At 37.0% G+C, this 19,951-nt stretch overlaps 1 protein-coding gene across 4 annotated transcripts in view, besides 1 other annotated feature; it reads right to left on the reverse strand.

The window, feature by feature from the left end:
* Positions 1–19,951, reverse strand: part of LSAMP (limbic system associated membrane protein) — a 643,114-nt gene that overhangs the window by 457,139 nt on the left and 166,024 nt on the right. The window lies entirely within an intron of this gene.
* Positions 64–955: an enhancer, noted in NCBI's record as "OCT4-NANOG hESC enhancer chr3:115978423-115979314 (GRCh37/hg19 assembly coordinates)". NCBI's record gives its function as "activates a minimal SCP1, AML or CMV promoter by ChIP-STARR-seq in naive H9 embryonic stem cells {active_cell/tissue: H9 hESC(naive)}" and the evidence as "EXISTENCE:reporter gene assay evidence [ECO:0000049][PMID:30033119]".

Consider the following 19,951-nt stretch of genomic DNA (forward strand, 5'->3'; position numbering starts at 1 on the left):
TTATATGTGTTTGTGTCATATTTTAAGACTTATTTCGTTTTGCTAGATTACTTCTCTGTCTTTCACAACCAGAAGCCAATGTAATAATGATGTGCATGCAAGTAGTTTTAACTTAGAAGGCACTACATAAATGTGTGATGTGTGTAGCTGTGGTGCTGGTGGTGTTGGTATGCAATCATTTCGTAAAGTTGCTTGCAAAAATATGTTTATCTCCTATTGGTTGAGTGTACAAGTGACTGGATAATACTTTTGATAAGAAAAAGTCTCAACTAAAAAAACAAACAAAAAAACAACAAAAGAAAAACAGAGTGCTTGGGTCTTCTCCTTCTTAGCTCTCTGCCTTTATAACAGCTATCTTTATCCTCTGCAGCAGCATCACAGCTTGCTTTCTCCTCATTTTTCTCATTTTACCTCATCTCAAAATACTTCTTCTATCCTCACGCTATGCATCTTCCAGATTCTCTTTTTCTCTTTTTTCTACAGTCTTTCTTCTCAATATTCCCCCTGCAATTTCCCAAGTATGTTCCTTGGAGAAGTTACATTTCCAAGATTTGGTATTTGCCTCACATATAGGGCTAAATCTTTCATTTACATTCAGAAGATGGTTTTATGTGATTGTCTTTTTCTAAGGAAAGGAATGCTAAACTTTCCCTCCTTCTAATCCTTTCAATAAGGATCCTTCTTTACATTTGTATAGTAAATTTAACTTTCCAAAGGGCTTAAACAAACACACTTGATCTCATTTGATATTTACTGACACTGCCTAGTGGTAGGTAGAATTCTTTAATCTCCAGGAGTCTCTCTTCTCTCCAGTAAAAGCAGATTTATTAAAATAATAATAATTGGTCACAGGACCTCACATACACATTTTTTAAAATTTTCGAATAATATATAAATAATAATGAACTGCTATATTAACTTACTATAAACTATACTAATATATTATAAATGTAAAATATATAAAAATAGGAATAAAAATGAGTGAGATACAAAATACACAGGGTTTCTAATAATTTCTTCAAGTTCTCAGTGCATAATCTTTGGATCCTCTTTGAGACCACGGCATAATCTTCTAGGGCTTTAGTAACTGCACTTGGACACCTTCTAAGAGTGCTGGTTACCTGGAGGAGGTTGAGGGAGAGCTAGGATAGGACTTCTTTGCTGCTACACCAGCATAACTTCCAGGTTTCTAACTCTGGCTCCCTTTTCCTTGGCCTGGGTCCTCAACCTACGTGAGGCTTAGAGGGGAGAAAGCCAATTAGTGTGTATCTATGCCTTGAGGATAAAGAAGGAGAACCTAATCCTAAGACCTAAAGTCTAAGGCAGCATTTCCTTTGGGAGATTTAGACTTCAGCTAAGTGCTTTTCCTTGAGTGTTTGTTGATGAGGTAGAGGTGCAGGCAGAGATAGAGCATCACCTGGGAAAGGATGCAGCTGATTAACATTCTGGGCATGTAAAACAGTTTGTGCACAATTAACTTTTCTAAAATATATCCTAAGCTTTCAAATTATATTTTGCAAAGTGTAATTCTATCCTATTACCCTTAGCCACATACACCTTGGTATCACAGTACTGTAAATTATTCCTTTGCCTCCTTAGTGTTTACAACTTTCTGATATAGCACTCGTAGATAGTGATCATGCATATTCCTTCCTAGTTATCACAGTAAAACTAGGGCTATTTTATTCTTCTAATCTTTCCTCATGCACCCTAAAGTTCTTTAATCATTTTTGTTGTTGGTTTCTTCTTTCATTTCCAGTTATCAGCATCTTTCTGATCGTGGGGCATTCAAACCTAGAAGGGGGATGCCAGATTGCAGCTCACCTTACCTTATAAATAGGAGCTATAGGGTACAGGTTTCCTGTTCCATAATAGCATGTGTCTGTTGGGCCAGTGCTCTTATGCATTTTTATTATCTTGGCATCACATTGAATTATCAGCATGTCACCTCGCTATTTAGAAAGCTGTCATCTGATGCTCTCTTCTTCATAGCATTCTTCCACTTTAGCTCCATCTTTCTCATATCTTTGAATTCCATTTTCTTTTTCAGTTTTGCTTTGTTGAAAGTTATCTGTATTTTAAACAATTTTCTGATTAAAAAACAATTATTTATCTAGGAAATTAGCACAGTGTCCTGCATCCCATCTTTCTGAAGACTAAGTTCTTCAAAAAAATTCTTAGCCAACTAAAAGCAGATTCACAAAATGTGGCTGATCTTGGAAATCTTTCCAAAATGCTCTTAGATCATTCTCTTTTTCACTTGAATGTGTGTTATTCTCTATGTGACAGGTGTGTATGTGTGTGTATTATTGATATGTTATGCACATATATGTTATTATAATATAAAATATATACATTATATATTAATGCAATATATTAATAAATTCTGATATATATAATTACATATATATATCTGCATTCACATCTTTTTCTAAATTAAAGTAAGAGACCAGTTGAGCAAGGGTTTTTATACTTTATGTGGCTGATCTCTATAGCACAAGAATAATTTATGTAATAATTAATAAATCACTTCCCTATTGAGCCTAATGGAGCCCCTTCTTTACCATTTTGTTTTCATTTTTCCAACCCAAATTTGGATCGAAATATTCATATTTTCTTTGCTATTTTAGGACCTTTTTACCTAAATGCAATGACTATTGTATTAAAAAGAAAAGACATTCCAGCCTCTCCTCCATTCCCTATGTGAATGAAGTTAATTGTTACTACCTGTTGTGCCTGTTGCTGTTATTAACTTGGTGATATTGAATCTGGAATTTCATTTTAAATATCAAGGAATTGGAAATTGTGAAACAATAGATCCTAGACTGTGATGTGAGAACATTTTAGTCTTCTTGGGTGGTAAGGTTTCTAGGTATTATGGGATATGTGACACAAATGCTGATAAATTTCTTCTCTGACTCCATATTGAGGTCTTAAATCCTCCCATAAATGCATCTTTTTCTGTTGATATTTTGTCCACTTTTGACTGTATAAGATGCCCAAGCCCTGTCTGGGATTCTAGGCTTTTGGGCTGTAGGCATGTGACTCTATTCACTTTGGTGTTCTCTGTAGGTATCAGATACGCAGCAAGCACTTATGGGTGTACGTGAAACAGAGCCTCTAAAACTCAGTTAGACTATTGTATCAGGGAAGCTATCATTGCACAGAAAAGAATGCAATAAATTTCAGGTCATAAATCATTCAGCATATCTTGATAGAGGAGCAAGGAAAAAGTTGAAGGGGATATCATGTGCTTGAAAGGACAGACAGAAGGAGGGAAAGGACATTTACAAGGGAAATATGAAATCAACAAAATCAAAGCAAGCCACATAACTTGCAATTTTCTGCACTTGGAAAGCTCTTCTTGGTTCCTCATGTGGCAGGTGAAGGGATTGAGGACTTCAGATACATTCATAGAAACTGTTTTCCTGAGTGCTCAGTGAGAAGAAGGTTAAAAAATCTTAATTTTTCGGCTCTTAAAGCAAAGCTTTTATTTCTATGGGTTGAGCTCTGTCACTCTACCTACTTTCCCTGGGGAAGCCTGTCTGCTCTCTAATGGTCAAAGGGAATATAACACTATAAAAGAGAATGACAAAAAAATGTTAGCGTGGGACCACTTGTTTAATTTACGAATAACAAACACAACAAAGAATGTAATCAGGACAAAAATAGGAAGGTGATCATAATGAACTATGTCTGCTCTCAACCGCAGGAACTGATTAACCTACCATAAAAAAGGATGGGGCTGGGTGCGGTGGCTCATGCCTGTAATCCCAGCACTTTGGGAGGCCGAGGTGGGTGGATCACCTGAGGTTAGGAGTTGGAGACCAGCCTGGCCAACATGGTGAAACCCCATTTCTACTAAAAATACAAAAATTAGCCGGGCATGGCGGTGCATGCCTGTAATCCCAGCTACTCGGGAGGCTGAGGCACGAGAATGGCTTGAACTTGCGAGGCAGAGGTTGCAGCCAGCCAAGATCGCGCCACTGCACTCCAGCCTGAGTGACAGAGTAAGACTTTGTCTCAAAAAAAAAAAAAAAAGATGAATATTTTTATAGTAACATATATAAGAAACTGTATATTGAGTGATATGGTTAAATATTTTCAGCTTCACTCCTATAAAGCACATATCAAAATTAAACCAACTTTTATATTGCATTTTATTAAATTTTATGTTTTTAAGTACTGATCTAGATAAATGACCTTGCATTTGTAAGATAAGGCTGAGTCCAAACAATTAATGGTTATATCCACTAATATCACTTGTATTAATCTTCATAGAAAAATGTATTCTCTGTGTTGCATCCTTTGACTTCTAAGAATATATGGTAGCATAGTTTTAAGGCCAAGAGTTTTGCTAAAAGTCTCGGGGAGTCATCTATGGCTTCTTTACTTAGAGGAGAAAGGTACACTCGTAACTGCTTACAAGACTGAGAACTGAGAGTGGAGAAAAGTACAGAACATCTCCTAGAGGCTTCGTCTGAAAGTGATATTGTGCTGCTTCCAAACAGGATGGCAATAAAACAAGTCTGCCTGCACTTGGTTGTTACCACAGGCCTGGCATATTTAAGGGTTAAGGGAAATATCACCTTTTAGTATTATGTTGTCTAGTAGGTCAGCAGAATCTAATTAGGTGTACTAGCTCATCAAATTAAAGACAGTATGTTCTGGTATCTCCCTGGTCTCTTACTCAATTTCTAGGTGAACCCTAAAAATGTACTCTTCTGAGATAAAGAGATAAAAAAGCTCTCCCTCTGTTCTTCTTCCAGATTACATTCTTAATCTGGACTTTATTTTGTTCCAAGTTGGAGGGTTATCTGGAATTGCTTGACTGCCAAACTTAGGCAAAGAAGTAGCCTTATGATGTTTCCCATATGCTAGTAAGAGGCGGCTTCCAAGACATTGAGTCATGGCTTCAGCACAGCCTCATCAATTGCTGCATTTCACCTTCTGAGGCCAGACTCTCTGAGAGGCTCATGGGCGCTTAAGGGGCATTGTGTAGTGTTTCTGCTTTACTGTGACTGTCAAAAAATAAGAGAGTTAAGGGATAGAGAGTTAGAGAAGAGAAGATGGTGGCAGTTTTGTGGGTTTTTGTTTGTTTGTTTTTGAGACAGGGTTTTGCTCTGTCGCCCAGGCTAGAGTGCAGTGGCATAATCATGGCTCTCTGCAGCCTCAAGCTCCTGGGCTCAAGCAATCCTCCCACCTTAGCCATACCAGTAGCTGGGACTAATGGTGCATGCTATCTTGCCCAGCTATTTTCTAATTTTTACTTTTTGCAGAGAAGAGATCTTGCTATGTTGCTCAGGCTGGTCTCAAAAAACTGAGTTTAAACAATCCTCCCACCTTGGCCTCCCAAGTGCTGGGGGAAAAAAAAAAGAGTTTTCATAGAGTTCTGCCTAATCTCTAGCAGCACCTTCCTTCCCTGAGGTCTGTGGGTGGAGCTGAACATTCCAACCTTAGAATCATTTGGTTTTTCCTGTGAGCAGCCTCATCCTGAGGCTCTCTAGAGGCTCCTTCCTAAGTCACCTCATCAGCATAAACTCAAGAATGATCAAAAGGGACGTGTTATGAATAACAAAATACATTCCAATTACCCAGCGATTTTGAAGGGTTTTAGGAGCTCAGTGCCAGGAATGGGGACAAAGACCTAATATATTCTTCTTATGTCACAACATGAAAAAGCATATGCTGAAGAATATGAAGCTGTGGGATCTGCTCTTCCTGAGAAAGGGTCACTTAGAGAGAGGCTAAGGTTCATGCTGGAATTGTTTTTAATTGGGAGCTTGGCGCTTGTTTGAAGTAGGTATGGTTTGTGAGAGACTGGATTACTATTAAGCTCAATGTGGGACTGCATTTGGTGTGTTCTATCATAGCAGATTTACATCTATCTTTTTGACAATGTAGTAACTTTTCAAATCCACACATTGACGGTTCATAGCCTGCCATCTGCTCTCGTATCCGAAGAAATTCGATAGCGTATACCCTGCCAGAACATGACTTCAGTTTATATGTCCTGCTGCTCTGGCCATAAGAATCTAAATACTCGTTCCAGGATGATGAAGTTGTTGGGAAGGGCAATTTCTTTCCCCAACGCCTTGTCTCACACTAATGGCGTAACAGCAGTCCCAAGAGGTGGTATATCATCCTCCCCACCTGTGAAAAGAAATGATTAGATTGAACAGGGTTAATCTAATTGTGGTTAATCTTTGGGACTCAAATACAGGCTTCCTGAAATGTTTCTTTGTTGAAATATCAAGATCCCATTAGGATTCTTTAGTCAACTTAGAATGATGGCAGTTGTCTTTCCCTAATCCTCTTGACCTGGACTAGTCCAATAACATCAGTTGTGCTCTCATCTCAAAACATAAGGCAGAGTAACAAAAGACATTCTTTGGATCTTATTCATTTTCATTTGTTTTTATCTTTAGTTTAAAAAGTTGTGGGGTTTTTTTTTCCCCTTCAATAACTATTAGTGAGAATGGGGGAGGAAAGATTTGTCTCTTGACTTTTTTTTAACAGAAGGGAAGTACTTTATTTTCTCCCCTTGAGAATTTGCTGACTATTTTGTCCCCAGGGTCACAATTACTTAAAACTTCATACTTAAGCATTAACACCCCTTTCTGTTGCTAGCCCACCTCTTCCCTCCCTTTCTTCCCCACACAAGGGGAAACTGCAGAGAAATACTACTTAATTATCACACCACGTAACTAATTAAAAGCAGGATGCTTGTGTATGGTATGCTAATGAGCTATTAGAGATCTAGCATGCTTTAGTGACAAGACATGGGTTCCTATTCTACTCTTCACATGGCTGTGGATTTCTAGTTGACAGTTAATGATGATGAGATGGGAATTTATTATGCTGCTTGCAAGCCAAGAACTTTGAGAGAGGGCAGAAAGGTCAAGTAACAGAATCACTCAGAGGAAACAACACCTGAGCTGAAACCAAGAGACAAAAGGAATGTATTTGATTTACAGGAGACCACAGAGAATATGGAATCCATAGCAGAGGGTGTTCAATAAATAGGGAACTTTTATTATTATTTCTGGTAGGCCCAGTGATGGGAGATGAGCATATTGGAGGAGAACTATTGATCAGCTACTTGTACGTATGCCTTATGTCCAGATTTGAGTATATTAGTTTAGAAGTCACCAAAGACAGCCTGAAAAGATTGGCATTTCATGCAGAAACAGAGGCAAGGGCAAGCACACAAGTGTATAGAGAGGTAAAAAAGATGACACAGGAAGAGAGGAAAAATGAAAAAGATTAGTTATATAATATATATGATTAGTCTGTGAGAAAAAATATTACAAAGCGTAAACAGGAATGTTAGCAAGAGGCAAAAACACAGCAACACTAATACTAACAATAATAATAGTAAACACTAACAATATTAATAACCAACACTTACTGGAGTGTTCCTTTTCTGTGTGGCAGGCACCTGCCAACTGCTTTGCACTTTACATGTGTCAACTCATTGACTCTTTATGACATCTCATCCTACAGGGCAATGTGATAAGATCAATGCAGGTATTTCTAACTACTATCCCAAAGCAGGGATTCAAAACTAAGATCTCGTGAAACAGAGCAGGAAAAGTAGACTCCCACTGTATACACTGAGCTGGAATGCAAGGCAGATGTTACATTTTTTTTTGAAGTTGGCGCCACTTGCATCCAGAATATAAGAGATGCTCATTTAAGAGGAAATAAAAATGAACAATGGAATGTTAGAAATGTAAGTGAACTTTGAACAGATCCATCTCTTTCTGTGAAAAAAGAAGCTGATGACATGCATTTTGGATCTATTACTTAACTTGAAGTATGGAATGAATTTTGCAGCAACAGAATCAGCATAGCAAGGAATTTTATGTTGCTGTTTCCCCAGTGCATTTGTACAATGTTTCCTGTTGTACTTCTGCTGGTGCTGCCTTTACATCAGGAAGAACTATACTCCCTTTTCCCTGGAGTCTTAGTATCAATGAACTGACAGGAGGAAAGCAGCAGTCAGGATGTATAGAGAAGTTTCTTACTTGCCAAGGGGAGAAGACAGTATGCAGGCCCTATCTCTGTCCCTCTGAGAATCCTAGATTTAAGCTGGCAAAAAAAAAAAAAAAACTGTCACTGGAGCAGCCACAACCTCAGTGAACTGCTCATTAGTTTAAGACCCTCTGTTCTGACGCCATCCTCTGTTCGTCTGTTTTTTAGACATATGAAAGGTACTCTCCGCCTGCAGCAGAGACTGACAGTATTCTCCCCAATATTTCTTCTACCTATCTATCTTCCTCTGTGGGAAGGAATGTATTAATGGGTGAGCGATGAGCCAAGCTAAAATCCTCCAGTTTATAGTCTCCCTTGCTGATGGAATGACCAATGAGATGTAAGTAAAAGTCAATGGAGAGAGTCTCAAGGGAGGAATGGAGTGTAATGACTGGAGCACCAAACTCTTCCTTGCACCAGGAGGATGAAAGCAACACATTCAAGATGGCAAAGTTAAATGATATGCCAGGGCAATTCTGATATAATTTCTGCTCTGGACATCTCTTCTGGGCTATTTTACATTAAAGAAAAATAAAAACCCTAACTTGTTAAAGCCACTTTATTTGACCTTTCTGTAATATGCAACTAAATCTAATCCTAACACATCCTTTTTCCAGTTTCTTTGTACTATTCCTAAACTATTAGGAGTGGCCATTAAAAAAAAAATGTGTGTGTGTAGTAGGCAAGATGCAACCATTCCTTCTTACTTTGTTTATAAAGGGAAGTCTTTTTGATAAGTAGAGTGGTCATGTACACCACAAATGCTCCTCTGCCTGGCCAACCCAAATGCCTTTTATTTGCTATAATGGAAATATAAGGCATAAATCCATACCCTATCCTTCATGTAAGGCACAATTTAAATTTTTTGCATCTTCTTTCTTTCTCAGCTGTATCTGAGGCATGGACGGGGGATGGGGGAAGACAACCAGCTCTTTATATGCTGCTGTTTCCAGATGTGAATCTGTAGGCTCATGCCATTTCTTTAACATCCTTAGAGCACTGTAACTGGTGGGGATATGAGAAAGAACTATCACTTTTTGGTGAACTTGGCAAACATAGAGTCTCTCCCCCTTTGGTTAGACCTCAATAATTTCTGTGTGTTTTAAGATTTCCAAAGTGTTTTTGATTAAACAATTTTTTTCTATTTTTCTTTCTTTCTTTAAAAATTTTACTCTTATAATTTTAAAGTATATAATTTGTTGCTCATTTGTTGCTTATAATTTGTTGCTCATTTAAAAAAATATTATTATTCTCTTGTAGGATGAAGGACAGCTTGGTAAGAGGGCAGGGATTTTCATGGAGAATAGAAATGGAACTAACTTTTTTGGGGATTTGAACAGTCGGTGAAATAGCAGTCCAACCAGATTAAAGAATCTAGGTAACATCATGTCACTCAGTGGGCCCAGGTGCCACACTGACCCTGTTAGTGATCAAGTAATTATTTCTCTGGCAGGGGCTAGAGAAGCCCTTCTGTTGGGTGGTCCTGACAACTCAGAAAGCTGCTGTATAGAATAGTAGTCCACCCATTCCTTTTTCATCATCACCTCTGTTCATCCCCTCCCACACACCAAGCACAAAACGCTTTAATTACTCTCTCAATTATGGCTTCAAGGGAACATGATGAAGAGATAAGTGAAAGAATTTAATAGCAAGTGAGTTTGAATTTCAGCATTTTTATGTATAAGCCTTGTGATAATAAGCAAGATTTGAAATGTCTGCAAGCCTGTTTCCTCATTTATATAATGCTAATGGCAATCTCTCTTATTAAATGTTAAATAAAATATGCAACACACATATTATATACCCTGTTCACATTTACAATCTGTCCTGCTTATGAAAGCATTTAAGAGAGTACTCACAGTTGGATCTCTGGCATCCTACACATTGCTTGGTACACAGTGCTCAACAAATATTTGCTCAAGTTTGAATACTACATAATGATCTGTTGAATGAATGATGCTAAACCTAATGGCACTGCTGTGAGTGCTGGCTGAATTTTCTTTACGTAATTCTGTTCTATATTCAAGCTAACATTGGGCTTATTTCATTGTACAGCAGCCATATAAATAAGTGACCATATAATTTATCATCCAAACCAGGACGCTTCTGAGAGTGAAGAGGGGCACTACTAATAATTACTGTAGGACAACTAGTATAAATTTGGACTGTCCTGAGCAAATGGGGACATATATGTGATCACCTTACTGAAAGGCACATGGTTCTTTGTTTGATCAATTGATCAAGATCACAAATGAATTTGTGCTTATGTACACACAGGTTCAATTCTCTCACAGTTTAAACCAAAGAAACTGCCCAAACATTGTATAAGCATACCTTATATTGTACAATGAATTTGTACCTAAACAACTGTGTTTACTGGACTTCTAATAAATGAATGTGTGTCTACACGCCCATGGGGGCATTCTATTTAAAGATTCTTCAAGCTAAACCATTTTTAACATGACAAATTTTTCTAAAATTCTAATCATCAACCCTACCTCCCACCTGCAATCCTGTTACCCAATTTACTTGCCTTATTCATAAAATAAAATGTTATTTTCTTTGGTTTTATTTTGTGTTTTCCAAAGCAATATACATTTTAGGTCAGATTTTTATATGAAACATGTCCTAATAAGTATGTCATTGGTCAATTAGTCACCGCAGACCCTTTTAGTCACAGGAAATTTTCACTGTGATGATAAACGGAAATGATAAAAGACTGCTGCTGTACAACAGGAAAAGTCAATTCCCCTTCCAGTTAACACTCCATTTATCTGGATGACCACAGAGTTAACATCCTTCTGCCCAGTACAACTCAAGCAGGGTTGTCTGGAATTCAGGTTGCAGTGTCAAATGGACCCTGAAGCTTCTTTACTTCATTTGACAACAATTGTGATTGTTTTAGCAGTTGAGTTTGCAGAATGACTTCAGTAATACCAAAGATGGGTCTGAGGCCATCAGCAGTAGCCTCGGACCTTCAGCCACCAATAAGGACTAATAATAAAATGAAACATTGGTTATGTTGATCTCAATTAGGTCCAAGATAATGTATTCCTAGAAACACCAGGGCACTACAATTGCTGGAGCCTGGACAACTGTGAACTGCCCAGGGGGCCTTAATGTTTAATGTTGGAGGGTTCAGGAAATCTTTCAGCTGTAACTTTTCTAAGGGCTCCCTGTTTATCCTGTACAAGCTGCAAACACAGAATGTCACTTTATAGAAAAAGTTCAAAGTAAACCCAGGTTCTGCGAACAAAACCAAATATCCCACTTGAATAATTATATACAATAAGCAGTAAAAAAATACTGTAACTTAAGTCAGAAAATGCAGTTCAGGCTGTGTTAGTCACTAGCTCTGAGATCTCAACAAAGCTTGCTTACTTCTCCAGATTTCAATTACTTCGTATGTAAAATTAAGGGATTGGAACAGATAGAGTACAGATTCTTTTCATAAGTAACATGCTAGAAGTGAGTCCTTAGACCTTTAAAAAGGTAGAAATATAGGGTTAGGTAAATACACATTAGATAATGATGTTGCCATGGTTCCACTCTAAAGAGTTGATGGCCAAGAAGGAAATTAATTCAAGACTTAAGACAATAAAAAACAGAATTCAGCTATTTCATATGCAACAGCTTATTTTTAGTATAAAAATACAAGGTATCATGCTACCATTACTGTAATACTTTTTTCAATTTAAAAATAACTGTCTGGTAAATAAGTTAATTATACTCATTGGATTACTCTACCCACAGAACAGTAATGAAAGTCCAGCTTCTCTTGTAGACTAACTACAACTTGGCACACTATCCCTCAGCAAATTGTATTTTATGCTTTGTCCACAAAGTAGATTATATTTCTGTGGTGTAAGATGGGATGAGAGAAATAACACTCCAAGGAGTTAAATATCTTCCTTAAGATTGCTAGAACTTGATATAATACTCCCAGGTTCTATCACTCCCAGTTAGTTTGTTTCAAATTTTAGATTTCTTTGGTGGAAGAATCAAAATAACAAAACTGGATTTTGTTAATAAACAGTTGGGGCCACATGCTTTAGGAATATTGAGCAAAAACATTCTACTCTACTAACAGTAGAAAACAAATGGAAACTTTTTCCTTTAAACTTCCCATCTTATACCACAGAAATATAATCGACTTTGTGGACAAGGCATAAAATGCAACGTGCTGACGGATAGTGTGCCAATTTGTAGTTAGTCTAAAAGAGAAGCTGCACTTTCATTACTGTTCCGTGGGTACAGTAATCCAATAATATGCAAACTTATTCTTGGGCTCCTTTCTGCTATAGAGAAGGATAGATAGAAACTAAGAATAGAAGGAAGTAAAATGAAGTATTTCCTATTTATTCTATTTGAAGTGAATAAAAAAATAATATGGGTTAGTATTCACTTGTGAAGGGAAAAATAAATTTAAAACCCAGGATGAAATAGAGATTGGATTTTAGGAAAGCAAGTAGAATGATAAAAGAGATGGATGTAAAGATGGAAGGAATTCTCAAAGCCCTTTTTATCTCTTTGTCTTTGGAAGCATTGATCCACCTATACAGCATATGTCTCACTAAATTACAGTTCCATAAACAAATAAATATATATATATATAATAAAAACAACACAGAAACTATGTATGTGCGAATAACACTTCTGCCCAGTGATGCATTTGTGTATGAACACGGACTTATCCTGAGTCCTGTTTTATCATGGGACTGAGACAACTAATTCAGTATTTGGAGAAAGGCAAAAATAACAATGGACAACAAAACAACTATAACACCAAGGCTCTGAGTTGGTGTTCTGTCACTGGGCAAGATAAGTTTCATTCATTGTTTGATAGAAAGGCCATCTTATTGCACTTATCGAAGCACTGATCCCTAGTCAATCCTTTGATAATGGCTTGAGAAGTAGCAGTTTAATACAACTACTCAAATTGGTCATATCATGCCCACTGGCTAATAGGGAGATGCAATTTCTCAATGAAGAATTAATCTAATTCGTCTTGACTATTTTTGAAGCAAAGGCCTTGAACTACATTGATGATTTATGTTGCTGTTATCCATGGTGTTTTCTTGCCTTTGCTTTGTTTTTATTTAAAGACAGTAGGAATAACTATTCATCTCCTGGATAGTCCGTTATTTTCTGCATGATATTGAACCCCACAGGTTCAGGATACACAAATAATGTCCTCCTGTATGTGTAAGAATCTGTCCTAAGTAAGTGGCAGAAAAGACTATTCTATTAACATGATTTTAAAAAATAAAAATGAAACTTTGGTTTGCTATTTGATTTAAATGTCTTGGCAATAGTAAACTAATTTTTTTGTTTTGTTTTCTATTCTTTTATGAAACGAGCATTTTGGGCATAAATAACCTTTCAGAGTCAGGTAAATTATTTCTGGGGTTTATGACATGCTAATATGTTTCCTTGGATTTCCTGAGTCCTTCTGGTGTTATTAAGTGTTGTCATTCATTCTTTGAACACTACTTAGAATTGCTCACTGTTCGCTCAAAGGTCATCACAGCACTTAATAATTTCAGAAAGAGATAAGCAGGACAGAAGACCTTATCTGTATATCAAATGTGAGTTCATGTGTGACCTACTACACCAGCCAAACTGCTGTCCCTATCAATCCTATCTCCACCTCATCTTATCCTTGACTGACACAGCACTGGATAAGAACCCCCACGGTTTCCCATTCTCATCCTGGCTTCCAAGTTGATTCCCTGTGTAACGTCTGACCAGCCACACTCTACCTAGTTCTTTATTTTCTTCCCTCAAGTGGGAAACCTGCCTCCATCTTAATAGAAAACTGAGAGAAGTAGAATATTCATGTAAGAAGCATTTAAAGAGAGATCATAATTACACATCAATCAATTCAAAAATTCAACCCCAGAAATACTTCTGGGTTTGTAGTCTTAGTCCAAGAAAGAAAAAGGAAATTAAACAACGAAACAACTTTAACACCAAGACTTTGAGTTGGCATTACTGCTCTCTTGGAGTAATCTACTTTAGAATATGGAATTATGATCTATTTATTTTGAATTCACGTAACCCACGGTAGGAAGATGTTTGACCATGGGTTAGAGGAATACCCCAGAGGACCACCAAGAGAAAGAGAAAGAGGCATATATATATATATATATATATATACACACACACACACACGTATATATGTATACATATGTATATATATATAAAATTTTTATTTTGAATTATGTAATTACAGATATATATATCTTTCTCTTTTTCTTTCTTTCTCTCTCTCTCTCTCTCTTTCGCTTTCTCTTAATGGTCGTCTGGGCTTATTCTTCTAATCCACGGTCAAACACCTTCCTAGCATGCATTGGTAAAAGGTGTTTGACCATAGGTTAGAAGAATAACCCCAGAGGACCACTAAGGTTCCTCCAAGTTTAAGATTCTCCACTGCTTCCTATCTGTTATTTTCCATTTACAGCACTTCTCCTCTGTGTTCTCATTAAATGTTACCTCTTCATTATAAATTATTTCAGAGGAGTTTTCTGGACTGTTCTCTCTCACATTTAGGATACTATTTTCAAAGTTAACATTTCCCCCTACCCCACCTTCTAACTGCCTTTGAACTTCTCTCTGAGTTTCTATGCTTGGTTCATGTGCTAGAATTTGGCAAACATATAGTTTCTATTTTAACATGATTACAAATAATTGTTATTCCATTGTGTAGTTTGTACTTTTGTTTTTTCATTATTATCTTCCTGCTTTTGTCACTGGGATTTAGGTAATGGAAGAATAAGTAAATGACGGGAGCTCTCCAGAGTTGGGAATACAAAAGAAACAATGCTCATAAAACTGTTCATTTTCTATGTTTCAAATGTTATCTGACTGAAACGAATACCACTGTATTATTTATTTTTCATTCATTTTTTTCTTATATCTTTTTCTAATGCCTAAAATATGGGTTCACATGAAATAAACATCCTCAAACCATGTGCTATAATTTCAGTAAATCATTTAAAACACACATATTGAAGGTCTACAAGGTGCTGAACTAAGATTTTTCTCATCCCTCCACCTACTTAAAACTATGGTTTAGGTGAAGTTAAAATAATGAAACAGTGAGACAGAAATTTGTCACTGGATTTGGTAAATAAGGTGTTTTACTTCCTTGGCTTTTTTTTTTCTTTTCTCTTTTTGGTTAAACCATTTTCCAATCAAGGGCAATCTAGGCAAAAGGTTTTGTGCCTAAATGCAGTAAAAATAATTTGAAAGAATGATATAATTTATAGGCACGCTGTAGTCTTTTTCCCTCCTCACCATTAACAAATGGGCAAAATTCATCTAGTTCATCAGGTACTGGTGTAGTTATACATAAAAAGTATATTTTTATAATTCAGAGGAATAACATCGAGTAAAAATAGCCAAAAAAAAAAAAAAACTGCTGCCCAGAGCAACTTTTATTTTTGTGCAGCTTAAAACTTTTGTTGTCTTTCTTATAAACACGGCCACAAAGGATTTAAAAATAAATAAATAAATAAATAAACAGGCTCTTGCTCTGTCACTAAGGCTGTAATGCAGTGGCATCATCATAGCTTACTGCAACCTTGAATTCACACACACAAGTGATTCTCCTGCCTCAGCCTCCTGCATAGCGGAGACTACAGGTATGCACCATCATGCCTGGCTAATTAAAAAAAAAATTGATAGAGACAGGTCTCACTATGTTGTCCAGGCTGGTCTGGAACTCCTAGGCTCAAGCAATCCTCCCTCCTTGGCCTCCCAAAGTACTGGGATTACAAGCTTGAGCCACCACACCCTGCCCCACCGCCCACATTTTTGTTTTCTCTATTCTTCTCTTTAAAATAATGTCTAAAAAAATTATGTTTAAGCAACCTTGGTCATTTTTATAGGAAAAATCCAATTTTGTGAGTGTGTGTGGGCATTGGGGGGAGTCTATAATTTAAAAGAAACGTTATTTACCTAATTAATTATTAAGCATGACAACAATAGAAAAAAATCACAGAATTTCATTGCATTTTCCGTTTTTTTTTAAACCTCACTCTTTAGGTTTCATAGACTGCTGCAGAAAAATTGTGAAAGCCAAATAATATTCTTCCCAGACGTTTGCAGGCGGGACTGTGTGTAGAAATTCAAAATCTGCTTCTCAAGAAGACTAAATCATTGCTAGCAATAATGAGGTTGTCTACACTCCCCTTCTCTCCTCTCCTATATTTCCATCTCTAATTCCTACTTCTCTTCTCCCAATTTGAGACCTATTCATCAATTAATTTTATTTCCATAAAGGACAAACAGGTAGAAGATGTAGTAAGTGATAGAATCATTCTATACGTAACTGAATAAAACCAAATCAGGGGAAGATAGAATGGGTGAAATTATGTAAACTTTTCATTTCATTATGTAAATTACGTAAAGTTTTTGAACTATGTATAATCACATGCATGAGGAGACAGAAAACAACCTTGAAAAACATGTTTCAAGGGTGACTAGACTGACACCAGGCTATGTTTTAACATTAGCACTAATTGATTTGATGGATTCAACAGGCTTTTTCTTGTTGGATGTTTCTTTATATTCTAATTGGTTTATACTTTAATACATAAAAAAATCTTGTGAAAAGGTGCAAAGAGAGAATGACCTTTAAGTAGTAAATATCTGGATTGGAAATAAAACAAATGAACCCACCTGCTTCATTATGTTATAGGTGAGTGTGCCTCTGAAATCCTCAAAAACTACATTTGGAATTCAAAAAGATCAGTCTTTGCACAATTAGTCAACATTCAGAACGTATAGATTGTTTTAAGAATTAGTTTAAGCTGGAAATAAATATAGTTCAAAAATTTAGAAATTTCATAAATAGCAAACATACAAAGCATTATTAAGAAAACATTGTATGTTCTCACTGATATGTGGGAGTTAAACTTTGAGGACACGAAGGCATAAGAATGATACAATGGACTTTGGGGACTTGCAGGGAAGGGTGGGAGGGAGGCGAGGGATAAAAGGCTGCAAACAGGGTGCAGCATATACTGCTGGGGTGATGGATGCACCAAAATCTCACACATCACCAATTAAGTACTTACATAACCAAATACCACCTGTACCCCAATAACCTATGGAAAAATAAAAAAAAAGAAAAAAAAAAAAAGAAAACAGGGTCCTTGCAGGAGATATTGAAGCTAAAAGATTGAAGTCTGCAAAGAAAACCCATAAAAAATAAAGTGTGAGCCCAACCACATGGGGCTGGCCCAGTAGGACAATTCTTATTGAGAGCATCCTAGACAACCTGCTGAGAAAGGCAGACAGGCAGTGACCGTTACTGAATGGACCAATTAACAAGGGTCCCTAAGGAGGGGCTTTGGAATGAACAGTATTGCAGTGCACTCACGTTTCTCAGGTTTGTTGACAGTCATGATTGTGGCAGATCCTGTCTGATTATAAGCGAGTACACATGGAGCAGAAGACAGAGCTCTAGATGAATCAAGAACAGAGGCAGTAGTGGCAGTAGGACACTCAGTCCATGCATCAATGGATACCTGAGGGATCATCAAACACCATAAAATAGAACATGGCCTCTGATAAGAGATGTCAAATAATATTAGCTCTGTAAAAATAAATTAATTATAAGGCTCCAGTAGGGAGTTTCATGTGGTCAGCATGGGCTGATATTACCTAATTATTATCAGCTAAACTTCTTGATTCAGATAATTAGCTGAAATTTCCAAGTATGTAGCACCACTCTAGGCATAAGAATTTCCAGGGCTGTTTGGTCCTAATAATTGTTCAACATTCTTTGAATATAAGAATTCATTTGCTCATCTTGTGTTTTTTTTTTTTGAGACAGAGTCTCGCTCTGTCGCCCAGGCTGGAGTGCAGTGGCGTGATCTCGGCTCACTGCAGCCTCCGTCTCCCAGGTGCACGCAATTTCTCCTGCCTCAGCCTCCCGAGTGGCTGGGACCACAGGCGCCCACCACCACGCCTGGCTAATTTTTTTGTATTTTTTAGTAGAGACGGGGTTTCACCATGTTAGCCAGAATGGTCTGGATCTCCTGACCTCCTGATCTGCCGGCCTCAGCCTCCCAAAGTGCTGGGATTACAGGCGTGAGCCACTGCGCCCGGCCTGCTCTTCTTATTTTTATACATCTGTTTAAAGAGTGTAACCACAATCTGCCTACCTATTTAAATACTGCATTTCAGAGCTGTTTAACGGTTACCTGTTGTAAAGGTTGTGGCTGTCCCTGGACAAATATATCGATTATTTAGAGAACCATGAGAGACTCAGCCTGCTCTTATTTTCATCATATAAAAGATGAAAATTATGTTTGCTGCTTAATAAAAGAAATTGTCCTATCTTTTAGACACTTGCATATTAGTACTGTAATATACAAGATGTCACTGCAATGTCTAATAATTACTGTAACACTATTTAACATTATCTGTACAAGATATTGTGCTGATGAAACTGCACATTTAGGAGAGAAACTGAAAGCAATAATCCTATAATAAAAGTGAAGTGTATTAAAGAGGGAAAGCACTATTACTACAGGTAAAATCCTTTGAGAGTGCTCTTATTTATAATTTAGTCCTAGCAGGACAACCCTTCTGTGTGCTGATTATCAGAGCAATTCTAGCTTTGGGGAGCAAAAAATGTCACAAACACACCCGGAAGCTGAAATAAGCTTTTCCTTTCATGTGATTTAAGAGCTATTGTCACTTTGTGGAACTCTAAACATTATTCCATTCAATAATTCGGCTCCTAGATTATATATTGTCTAGGTTTCCTCTTCCTGCTATTTACTACTAAGGACATTTAAATGAAACTATTAGCTGATTTTTTTACTGCTTGTTCTCCACCTGAAGTTATTATCCTCAATTCATAATATCATACTCATCTGCAAAACAACCAAGCAGGAACATAAATTCAGTTGGGAGAAATAAACAAGAGAAATGGAAAGCAGAAAAAGCCAGGAGGAGCAGGGTCTCTGATGGGCACAATTATGACTGTTTTCATCTTTAAATTGCAGAGTTTACTTTAGCTTTGAAGTAACTGAAAGTTACTTCCATTGTGACATAACTGTGGCCTTAGATAATGACAGGAACCCCTTTTGTGTCATGAAAATATCTAGTAAAGTTAGCTCTTTTGATGATAATATTATCCACGCTTAATGTGAATAAAGTTAAAACTCAACACCTAGCACATTGCTGTTGCTCAGTAGATTTTTGTTGAATAGATATTTGATAAATACAATTTTATTAAATAGATTATAATGGATATCTGCCAAATTAAGTGTTTTGTTGATACTTTTATATTTACTCATCTGTCTCAAAGAAGATGGATAGCTATGTTAGCCTAAAGTCACCTGCTCCAAGGGCAGCCAAGGAAACTCCTATTCTGCTAGTGCCCTGGGAGAATACATATGTAGCTTCATTCTATAAAACTATCGGCAAGTTTATGTACCTAGTTTTTGCTTTTTCTGTAGGAGAATTTTCATTAACATTCTTTTTGCTAGTACTTGCCATTTAAATAAAATTTGGACATGAATCACAGGAATGCATTCACCAATTTTTCAATCCTACATTTTAAAAGTATGTTAATTCTATGTGTCCCTGGGAAAGAGAGGGACAGAGGGAGCCCTGAGAGAGTGAGAGAGCCTTCTGTCTTGCCCTCAAACAATACATATCACTTCTTAATAAATTACCAGTCACAAGGAGTTCCTCTTTAGAGGAGAAAGTACAATCACACAAGAGCACTGCCTAAAGCAAAATGGCCTCCTTCTCACTGCAAGGCCTGATTTCCAACTAGGCTTTCCAAAATGATGGCATGCCCTGGCTACTAGCTTTCTTGGCTGTCCAGAAAGTATACTTCTCTCCTTGTATAAACATCACATCTTCAATATAACTCTAGTCTTTGACT

The sequence above is a fragment of the Homo sapiens genome, chromosome 3 (assembly GCF_000001405.40).
Source record: "Homo sapiens chromosome 3, GRCh38.p14 Primary Assembly".
Classification (NCBI taxonomy): Eukaryota; Metazoa; Chordata; class Mammalia; order Primates; family Hominidae; genus Homo; species Homo sapiens.